We start from the raw sequence: 12209 nt of genomic DNA on the forward strand, positions 1-12209 counted from the left end.
ATCAGGTACTATGCTTATTACCTGGGTAATGAAATAATCTTTACACCAAACCCCAGTGATATGCAATTTACTTACATAACAAACCTGCACAGGTACCCCTGAACGTAAAATATTTAAAAATAAATATAAAATTATGTTATTAAATAAGAGTAGGGAAATATGAAACAGGAAAAAATGTACTTGTTGAAGCTGGGTCTTGAGTACATTGAATACAGTGATAGGTAATACTATCTCTTTTTGTGTATGTTTGAAATTTTCCTTAGGGGTTTCTATACTGTATTGCTTAGCTAATATTGATATAACTTTACTCTATTTGACTTTTTAATAGAGTAAAGACAAGATTGCATCCTACAGCAAAACTCCAAAAATTGAACGAAGTGATGTGAGCAAGGAGATGAAAGAGAAATCATCCATGAAACGTAAACTTCCTTTTACTATTAGCCCATCAAGAAATGAAGAACGAGATTCAGACACAGGTAGAATAATTTGCTGTTCTCTGGTAAAATCTTGCCCATTCTTTAATTCTGATTTTTGTTTCTTGTACACCACTCCTCTTGACACCCCAGTTTATAGAGAAATATTTGTATTTCACTATTTCAGATTTATCATTTTGGGGTAGGAATTCCATCTATCATGCCAAGTGTGATTTCTAACCAGAGATAAAAACAATTTTCTTTATTCCTTACTCTTTGAATGTTTATTGTGAATTTCTTTATCAAGAAATTAATTTTGGGAGGAGCATTCAAATGAATAAAAATTACTCAGTGATAAGGAAGCATTGGGATATGCAGATTTGAGAAAAAGTTGTTGAGCTTTTGTGAACATATGGTCACACCCCAAAGAAGTTTAGGCACTTTAGATTCAGAAATAAATTAGAAACATGCAAACACACACACACACACACACACACACACACACACACACACACATTGAGGCTAACTGCCTCAGTGCTTTTCATAGAATTTTTACACACACACACACACACACACACACACACACACTGAGGCTAACTGCCTCAGTGCTTTTCATAGAATTTTTGTTTCCCAAAACTCCTATATACCAGAAATTGATACTTGAAATCAGCCAATCCCAGTTATTCATAACGGATGAGATTCTTTTTATTGCTATCTAATAAATTACTAGGTTGTGTTTTAGCCCTGAACTAACCGATTTTTGAAACTAATATAAACTTGAATGTATGTATTTACTGTAGTTTTAGTCATTGCATGAAATATTAATAATGAACTGTTCTTAAAAATGTTTTAGCCTCAGAGAAAGTATTCCATTCTGAGTTTACGTACATAGATTATATTCTGCCTATATCTTTCTAGTCATTTTAATTGTCAGTTCAGAAATGATCTTGACTCTGGAAACTGAAAATACTCATAAAGATTTTTGAAACATTCTATGCTAACATAGCTTTAGAAAATCATGTAGTGTATGCTTTTGGTAGCCAGGTCTCCTTTTGTGTATTTTGCCACTGCTGTTGTGTGAATTAAAAATTGTTCTTAAACACTCATGACATTTTTAAACTTTGAAGATTGCTCTGTCTTGCAGTGATTACGAAATCATGTGCTTTTTCATTTTAAGCTACACTGGTTTCTTTGAGAGATTCAGAATCTTTTTTTTTTCCCCCCGAAGCATCCTAAGTGATACTCTCAAGCTAATTACTGGATCGCTTACCTGAGAAGAGGGTGCTTATGTGCCTTTGGGATAGCTATTTCAGATTGAACTCTTCTCGCATATTGTTAAAAGTTTCTTTGCTAGTCATTTTTAAATTACATTACTCGGGTTTTGTTTTCCAATGAGAGTATATTTCTGATAGCTGTTCGAAAAATGGATTTTGATAAATTCAAAAAATATTAATATTTTTAAGGAATAAAGTTTCAAGATAATCTTTTCATGAGAGCCTTTGTCATTAGATCAGATGGATTATTTTTCTTTTATTTAGAATAAAATTAAGGAGAAAATGTTACTTAGGAAGGTAAGAAATTTAGGCATTGAATAAATGTAACCTAATTCATATGTCTAAAATTGGGTTATATACACTTTTCCCCCTTAGATTTTTTCTACCGTTGGACTTTAGTTGGGATATCGCAGCTCTCTATAAGACTGTTTCATAACACTTATTCTTCCTTTTGAAAAGTTAACATGTTGTCACCAAACAAAATTTTGATGGATTTAAAACACAATTGACCCTCGAATGGTGTGGGGACTAGGGGCGCCAACCCCCTTTTTCCCCCTTCACACAGTCAAATCTGTGTATCTTTTGACTTCCCAAGTACTTAACTACTAATAGCCTGCTTTTGACCAAAGCCTTACCAATAACATAAACAGTCAATTAACACATCTTTTGTGTGTTACGTTATTTTTTTCTTTACTGTTACCTGAGATGACGTGTTATATTATTATATACTGTACTCTTTAAGCTAGAGAAAAAAATGTTACTTAAGAAAATCATAAAGAACAGAAAATATATTTACTATTCATTAAATGGAAATGTATCATTATAAAGATCTTCATCCTCATTGTCTTCACATTGAGTAGACTGAGGAAGAGGAGGGGTTGATTTTGCTGTCTCAGGGATGCAGGGAGGCAGAAGAAAATTCCTGTGTAAGTGGATCTGTGCAGTTCAAAATCAGGTGGTTCAAGGTCAATTGTATTTATATTTTTGGTAGGCTTTATTTATAAATTTTAGTAATAGATGACGTCTTTGGTTTAACATATCACAACACAGTGAAAACATTAAGGAGGATTTCCCTAGTCCCAGTACAAAATGTGTTATTTACGATTCAAGTGTCTTTTATATAATTTTTTTTTAAAAAGTAGAATTCAGTACCATTAAGTGATATTTCCCATATGAAAGATACAGCATCAGACTTCATATCTGACATTGATCTTTTTTATGTAGTATTCTGTATTTTAAACTATTAGCTGAAACTGTGAAGATAAAGATACAGAGGGGAGAAACATTTACAGCATATATCAAAACCCTTAATATATGTAGTATTTAAAGATCTTCTAAGTGTGAAAAGGAAACTCAAAAATGGGAAAATGGACCAGAAAATACAAGTGGTTCAGAACAATTATAGTTTGGAAAGAAATACATGAAAAAAATACATCAATAGTAATCAAGAAATACAATTTATGGTGAATGACAAAATTGTTTTTGGTCTGAATCACCCAGTGGTTATGGGTTGGACATAGGAATTTGCTTTAGTGGGTCTAAATTATAGAAATACTTTGTTTAAGGTAAATAGGACAGTGTATATAAAAAGTTGTTTCTTAACATCTGACTAATTTTTTCTTTGGGCATTTATTATAATAATGATAACTATTATTATTTTGAGACAGAGTCACTCTGTCGCCCAGGCTGGAGTGCAGTGGTGCCATCTCAGCTCACTGCAACCTCTGCTTCCTGGGTTCAAGTGATTCTCCCGCCTCAGCCTTCCGAGTAGCTGGGATTACAGGCGCCTGCCACGATGCCTGGCTAATTTTCATATTTTTAGTAGAGACGGAGTTTCACCATGTTGGCCAGGCTGTTAACTCCCGACCTCAAGTGATCTGCCAGCCTCAGCCTCCCAAAGTGCTGGGATTACAGGAGTGAGCCAACATGCCTGGCCTCTAATAATTACTGATGAGAGCATTTATCTTTAAGAATGTTTATCTCAGCTTTCTTTATAATAGCAAAAAAATCAGGAAAATTGTGTTGAGTAATATAGGATTTGTTAAATTATGATAAATTCAATGAAGAAATAGATTTTTCACCCTTAAAAATAATGTAGTAAGGCTGGGCATGGTGGCTCACACCTGAAATCCCAGCACTTTGGAAGGCCAAGGCAGGAGGATCACTTGAGGCCAGGAGTTTGAGACCAGATTGGCCAGCAGAGTGAGACCCTATATCTATAAGAAAATTAAAAAATGAGTCAGGCTTAGTGGTGTGTGCCTGTAATCCCAGCTACTCGGGATGCTGATGCATGAGTATTGCTTGGCCTGGTAGGTCGAGGCTACAGTGAGCTGTGATCATGCCACTGTACTCCAGCTGTAGAATAATACGTAATATGGGAAGGTGATCATGATATTGGAAGTAAAAAATTAGATTATGAAACAGTATGTGCTATTTGCATTAAAATTGTAATTTGTGTATTTACATTTACTGTGTGTATATACGTGCACACATGATGTATATTAACACATGGAAAGATTAAGACTAAGACTTTTTTCACTGTAGGAACTGTACCTGTTGGATGTGTTTTGGGTACAGAACAAAATATAAATGTTATAAACCTTGACGTAAGGAAATAACAGAAAAAAGGGTAGGGAATAAGGAGAAAGCATATCATCTTATCTCTAGCAAGGGATTAACTGATATTATCTAAACAAGTATATAGTTTCTTAAAATGATTATATAAACTTTTTAATGTTCCTGTATTTAAAATTCCTTTATATTTTTGTTTATATTTTATAGTAGACAGTGTCTTTTATAAAGAAGCAATGCCTTTAGTTTTTTTTAATGTTGGATTAAAATAATCTTTAAGCCTTTTATTTCAAAACAGCATATGTATGTTATTTTCTTGTTCTTACATAAATTTATTACTGTCTCTGCTAGTTCCTTTGTTGTTTTATGTGTTTAGAGGGATGCTGGGAATGATGCTTGCCAGAGGTTAACACTTTATTTCTTGGATGTGGGGTATTTATTACTTCCTTCTTGGTCCTTTTTGTATGGCTTGAATTCTTGAGATAATGGTCATATGTTACTTTTATAAAGTCACTACTTTTTAAAAGAGGTATTCATAGCATTGTCCAAGGAAAGCCTACTGGCACCCCAAATCAGCAGTAATGCTGTCTACTGAATGAGAGATTCCTAGCCTTCATTTTGCGAGATATCGTAGTGTGTCTTAAACTTTCTAAATTCTCAATTATTTAATACTTACTAATTTTTTTAAAAAAGAAAACACTTTCTAGAAAAGTAATTGCTTGGCTAGACAGGAGAAATTAGGGAATGAATTACAACATAATTTGAAATCAGGCCAGTGGGTCCTTGTAGCTCTATCGTAGTACTATATTTATTCTGAATTAATTTATTTAAACAAATCACCAACATATTATTTTACTCTGTCAAAGAATTCCCATAAATTTTGTCCTGTGGAATATTAAGCCAATGTATACAGTGACCCATTGAACCTATGGAAGCAAAAAGCAACTGCTTATCTAAAAGATATTTCTTACACCTACATCAGCTTGCTTTATCACTAATTTTTACCTTTTCCTTTTATTCTCTCCTACTCTAGAATTGACAGGATAAATTTTATAGTTGTAACAGAGGTAAATCATGGCAGTGTTTACTGTTGAAGATTTTGGAATCTGACTAGTGTTGACCCTAAGCCCCCTACGAGCACTGGCCCAGTAATTAGACTTCTTTGTAAGTCCCAGCTTCCTTATCTGTAAAAGTACATATAATAGTATCAGTTTCAGAGAATTGTGACCTTCAAGTGACATAGCATGTAAATTTAGCTTTTAAAACTAAATTAAACATAACCAAAAACTAACACTGGTTTAAATACATAGGAATTTTACAATTTAATGCAGTAAGAAGGCCAGGTATAGGCAGTACAGGGTTGGCATAGCAGTTCAGTAATGCCATCAGGCACTGATCTCTTTTCATCTTAATGCTCTGCCACTCTTAGCTCATACATGGGCTTTGTCTTTAATCATTTTGCCTTATAATCACAAGATTATTGCTTCTTCCTGGGTAGAAAGTAGGAGGGAAAAGACCAAGGACAAAAGTGTCTTTTTCCTGGTGAGATTTGGCCTTTTTGTTTCTGCATCTGATTAGTTAGCCTATTCTAGTTGCAGCGGAGTCTGAAAAATCATACTTTTAGCCGGGCATATTGTTTCCCTGATCAAAACTGGGGTATTCCTGGTAAGAAAAGGAGAATGAATATTGTATAGGTATCGTATAATATCTGCCCCCATATATAAAGTGTAATCAGTAACTGATAACTTTTGTTATCTTTAATAATTAATAAAGTTTCCACCTAAGTGAACTTTATTCCTGCATTATCAGTCACAAAATCATACTTAATTTCTTTCCTAGTCTTAACGGTGTCCAAGGGAAAGCCAAAATCTCTTAATGTGAAAGTGTTAAACAGCTGTCTTGAGGCTACATGTGAGAGAGTCTCTTCTTGGCCCTCAAACTTAATTTACAATTCTTTTGTTATGAAAAATGCCATTAAGACATCTTTGCAGATTGTGATGTTTGTCATACCCTGAGTTATTTCTTTATTCGTTCCCAAGAGTAGGGTTACAGTGTTATAAGGGTTAAACATTTCTGTGATTCTTCATGTTTCTCCAAAATAATTATACCTAGTTAGAAAGCCTCCAGCAGTATATGAATGTTCTTTAAGTTCAAATAGCATTGGGGGACATGTTTTTCTTTAGGTTGATAAATCTGATGTTCTGTAGAGATAAACCAGTAGTCCTTTGTCATTTTAGTTTGCATGTTTAAATAATCAGAAAGATTGAATATCTTTCACTTTTTTTCTTTGAATAATTGTTTCCTCTTAGCATTATTAGTAAGCAAATAGTTTACTAGTTTTTTTCGCTTTTTTTTTTTTTAAGGTGATACAGAGTGTCGCTCTTTCACCCAGGCTGGAGTGCAGTGGCACAGTCTCGGCTCACTGCAACCTCTGCCTCCTGGGTTCAAGCAGTTCTCCTGTCTCAGCCTCCTCAATAGCTGGGATTACAGGCGTGTGCCACCACACCCAGCTAATTTTTGTATTTTTAGTAGAGATGGGGTTTCACCATGTAGGCCAAGCTGGTCTCAAACTCCTGACCTCAATTGATCCACCCACCTCAGCCTCCCAGTGCTGGGATTACAGGCGTGAGCAACCGCGCCCAGCCTTTTTTGGCATTTTAAAAAGATAATGTGTTATGAGAAAATTCAGAGAACACAGTATGATGTGTTCACAAAGTCTACAGAGGCAGCTGTAGAATATGTTGAAATTTTATTAACAAAATCTCTGCCAGCCAGCCTTAGTTCTATTTTCCTAAGACTTTAGATGCCATTTAAGGGTTTACCATATTATAATGTGACTCAGTCAAATTTGAGGAGAGGAGCTTCTTTTAAAAACAAAACAGATAGATATAATTTTTCTGGGAACTATATTAAAATAGATAAAATTAGTGCTTTGCTTAGTAAGAATAATCACCTTTGGTGATTTTTTCATGGCAGTTATTCATGATAGATTTACTTCTGCCCCCTTCCTGATATTTCATTATAAAAATTTCAAACATACAGTACAGGCTTTTAAAATTATTTTTGGTATTTTTCTCTTATTTCCTTGCAACCCAAGCAAAGTATTAACTTAAAAAGATTGGTTTTAAAATACAAGTGTCACTTGTTTTGCCTCGCTACAAGGAACATATGTGGGAGAGAGAATGGCTCTGCTTAGCACTCAGTGTTTTGCATCAATCTCAATCTCATAAACAGTGGTAGTCTCATACAGCCTAGTCTCAGTACAGCATAAAAGGAAGTAGTTGAGGAAGGGGACAGGGAAATGTTAATAGAAGCTTTAATTTTCCAGTTCCTGAGTTAAAGCTTTATAGACTATTCAGATGCCCCCAATAGAAACATACCTGTTTGAGTAAAAGCCAAAGAGTGTGTGGGGTCAGAGTGGTTGCTTACTTCCAAAGGATGATTTGGATAAACTGGTAAACTACATTAATATAATTGAAAGCTTAGTTTATTCACTGTGGTTTAATCTATTAAAATAATATCTGCTTTCAATAATTCATTTAATCCAATTGGCACAATTTAATGTTTGCTGGTTTGCTTTGCAATCTATGGTGGTTATTTAAATTTTTTTGTTTGTCTTTGTCAAATATTATTTTTCATGAAATTTTTGTGGTTGCTAATTTAATGTATTCCATTTTGAAATATGTGTTCATTGAAAGTTTTACCATTCAGCCCATTTACCTGTTTACTTTAGAGTTGGTCTAAATGTTATTGATGATTCCTCTTTCAGTTGAGTGAACCTTCTCGTCACTAAACTTTTAGGCTTATCTGTAAAATTTTCAAATACGATGCTTAGGGGTTACTTGTTCTCTAAGTTGTTTTTTTTGAACACTTGGTTACTTATACCTAAATGAAATCATGAATACTGTGTAACAGTGATCCTGGAAAAAAGTTTGACAGTTAAGGATATGAAGAACACAATAATATTGTGAGTTGAAATGGCATTTATAAGTCAAAATATATTTATAAGTAAAAATGTCTGCTCTGGCCATATTGCCAAAGTCAATTGTCCATATTCATATTTCTCTGTCATGAATTGTTAGGCAGAATTCCATATATATATATGTGTGTGTGTGTATATATATTATTATTATTATTTTTTAAATGCAGAGTCTCACTCTGTCACCCAGGCTGGAGTACAATGGCATGATCTCAGCTTACCGCAACCCCGGCCACCTGGGTTCAAGTGATTCTCTGGCCTCAGCCTCCCAAGTAGGTGGGATTACAGGCATATGCCACCACACCTGTCTAATTTTTGTATTTTTAGTAGGGATGGGGTTTCATCATGTTGGCCAGACTGGTCTTGAACTTCTGACCTCAGGTAATCCACCCACCTTGGCCTCCCGAAGTGCTGGGATTACAGGCGTGAGCCACTGTGCCCGGCCAGAATTCCATGTTCTTAACTGATAAACTTTGTTTTGATTTAGGTTACTTTCTTTCCAGACGGTCTTCAGTAGTAATCACTGTAGTAATTTATACCATTTGAAGTGTATATAATTTGTGGAAAGGTCTGTGGTGTAGGATGATGTTGCAGTCCAAAGTGTTTTACTGTCTCCAGAGTCGAGTTGGCACTCATAGAACAAAAAGTGTAAGACAAGTTCTAAACAGAAAACCAGCGATAGAGTACTGGCTCTTTTACTGTTATTCAGAAGTTGAAAAAATATATAGCCTCAAAAAAGATAGTGTGTTTTAATATATAACATCAGTAATACCTGTTATTGAAACTGCATGGTTGAATTTCCCAACTTTAAGATATTTTTGTTGAAAAATTTGAAATATTAGGTGTTGACCAAACCTGTGTTTTAAATATAATTTTGGCTTTACTTTAAAAATAATCTTTTGGCAAAACAATAATAGCTTATTAACTGGTGGTCTTTTGAAAAATGTTGGTTTGTTGAATTCTGCATTTCCCTCCGTGTGCTTTTTTCTCTTCTCCTGTCTCTTCTCATTCTGTAGATTCAGATCCAGGACATACAAGTGAAAATTGGGGGGAGAGACTTATATCTTCTTACAGGACATACTCAGGTAATTAGATTATCAGGTGTTCCTGTTTAGCCAGTGGTTTCTGTCACATTTACAATTAATTATTGTACTATAAGTAACTTACTTTCAAACCAGCATATAGATATCTTTGGTTAAATAAATGAACTACGTGGGTGACACCACATTTTCCCATTTTTGCTCCTAGGTACTCAGTGTATCATATCTAACACAAGCTATGTGTGAACCTTGTAGCAGGACTGCCATATACCTCCACTCCAGTTTTTTACAGCACAATGTGGGGAACACCATTCACGCAGAAAACAATGTGAAAGTCAACCCCTGGTGGTGCATAGTGTAGTGACTCCTATGGGAAGATCCCCAAGTGTTTCGTTGTATACCCTTCACAAGGTATACCAAGTGTACTGATTTCAATAGACAGTGTCATCTTACCGTTTAGTCATGTGATGTTTTTTAAAAAACACATTTAATACAATTTTTTTCCATTGAATTCATTAGCCGTTATTGACTTTGTTGCCTAGGTTAAATTTAACTATAACTGAATTAAAATACCAGGTTACCTAGAGAAATGCCATTACCACTGTGTTGCAACCTCTCTATTAAGCTATGGCACCTGTTATTTTATGTTAATGGTCAGTAATTGCTCCAGATAGAATACAAGAGGATATACAAGTACTGTGTCCTCTTAAAATAAAGAGTAAATGTGTTCTCTAGTATGTGACAGCTAATTAGTTAAATGTTTTTGATTGTCTTTTTTTAAATTGGCTAACATTGTTATCTCTGAGCTTAAATAAAAATATGATTTTTTTTTAGTCCCTGGGTGTCTAAGTGTCTAGTTTTCAGCATATGACATTTAGTTATAAAAACTAAAGTAAACCTGTTTTATACACTTTTTATTTATTTTATACATTTGTGGGGTTGGGTTAGGGGCAGTGGAAGAACCAAATAATAATTCTTAAAATTATCCCAAAAGTTTTAATTGAGCTGATAAGTCAGTAGTGCCTGGTTACCAAAATTGAGGGGGTGGGGCATATTTACAGTCAGTTACTGTGGAATTAGGCATGCTTTTCTAAAAGGTGACTTCTAAGTACCCAAAGTGCCCCTGAAAGAGCTGTATGTATATGAAGCCATCCATAATCTGAGTATCATTGCCGGAAATCAAAAGATGCAGACATTCAATTGGAGATTCACGTAGATATTTTAGAACCAGAGAGTAATGGCAAATTTTTTTTTCAGAATTGAAGTATGTACATTGCAAACAGGATTGACTTAATTATGTTCATCTATATTTGAGTTGTGATTCCATTGTTTGATTCTTATAGTGACTACTTTGTGGGAAGATGTTGTATTCTTTAATTTTTGAGACACTAATAGGTTTATGAACCAAGTTCCCTAAGAAAAACAATTTTGTCTCTTCTCCTTAATAAGTACTTAACACTTAATTGGGATGTGAAGATGTTGAGCTTTCTATTTATTCTGGCAAGACCTAAAAAGAAAGCATTAATTTTCAGCATTATAAAACTGGAACATCTTTGTATATCTGAAGATCCTCTAAACCTTGAAAGAATGTTGGAGCGTTGAAAAGTCCATTTCTCTGTTTGCTTTGAATAGTCTTTAAGTGAATCTCTTGTATATTTTCTTAAAAAATCCCTAGGCTGTCTGAATGGAACTTAAGTTTATAGTAGACTATGCTAAATGAACACATTTGTCAGTATACTTACATTTAAACTTCAAAGTTCTTGTCTATTATTAGGGCAAGTAAATACATTTTGCAGGTACTGAATCTTGAGAAGTAGCTAACTTTTTAAGTATTATTTAATCACCTTCCTGACAAGAGAAGTAGCTAACTCTTTATAAGATATATAATATATTATCATTTTTTTACTTATGATGGGTCAGAGGAAACAAATTCTTTACAGGACAAATCCCAGATAGTCTTGTTGACTGCTTTTAACTTGAAAACGCATACTTTGGGACATACTAGTCTAACACAGTTTTAACACACAGTGTAGTTGTCTCTATCCTAGCTGCCTTACACCGGCTGCTGTTTTCTTACTTTGCTGTCTCATGCAGAATATGAACTCAGACATATGACTATGGTAACTGAAAGAAAATAGAGTTTATATTGGATGCTAGCATCTGATTCGAATTTTGTTTTAAATATTTGGAATATATCCAATTTGTTTCTTTCTTTCCAAAATAATTACATCTTTATTTGGCAGCATGGCATTCTAATGATGCATATATAAGTATCTTTTTACTGTTGCCTGAGTATGTATTACTTTATCATGTTAGACTGGCTTTTTTAAAACCTTGTGTTAAAATGCAGTCAAAACAAAAAAGGCAGTTGTTTTACAAACAAAAATGCAAAATTTTCCCCAATATTTAGAAAATATTTTGAGGATAGATGCTAAGTATTTTTTGTTTCCTCTAATTACTAGATTTTATTTCTTGTCTTTGAAACATCTTTTCTATTTTCTATAAAATTTTCACAATGTTAAATATATTTATTTTAGGAGAGAAATACATTCATTATAGTTAAAGATTTGTTATTCAAATGGAAAACTATTAAAACAACAACACTTGTAGTTGCTTATTAAATACTAGAGAACCAAGATATGCAGAAAATTAGGAGAAAAAATCCATATATGCTTCAGGAAAAAATTGGCTTCTCCAAAAATCTGTTTAGGGCTTTATAATGCAGCGTAAGTTAGGAAAAGTACTGTGCTAAGATTGGATTTATGCTAAATTGGATCATTAATGATAATGAAATAATAAATATGAAAAGATTATACTGGAAAAAAATAAAGTTGATTTAAATAAGTCTTGAAATTTTGTTTTTATGCAAAACCAAATATTCAAGAAAATGGACTTTTTAGGAAATGTTTAATTTTGAAAGATTTGTGGACAG

The 12209-nt window shown here is 33.7% G+C and overlaps 1 protein-coding gene across 20 annotated transcripts in view; it reads left to right on the forward strand.

Annotated features, from left to right (window-relative positions):
• Positions 1 to 12209, forward strand: part of ANKRD12 (ankyrin repeat domain 12) — a 149205-nt gene that overhangs the window by 58442 nt on the left and 78554 nt on the right. For 10 of the 20 annotated variants that reach the window (XM_005258093.5, XM_017025661.3, NM_015208.5 and 7 more), the window contains 2 exons: positions 329 to 476; positions 9254 to 9322. In XM_005258093.5, the coding sequence (XP_005258150.1) occupies positions 329 to 476; positions 9254 to 9322 (217 nt within the window). The remainder of the gene's footprint in view (positions 1 to 328; positions 477 to 9253; positions 9323 to 12209) is intronic. The other 10 variants (XM_017025663.3, XM_017025664.3, NM_001083625.3 and 7 more) reach the window with 1 other exon arrangement.

Source organism: Homo sapiens, chromosome 18, assembly GCF_000001405.40.
Source record: "Homo sapiens chromosome 18, GRCh38.p14 Primary Assembly".
In the NCBI taxonomy this organism is placed as follows: Eukaryota; Metazoa; Chordata; class Mammalia; order Primates; family Hominidae; genus Homo; species Homo sapiens.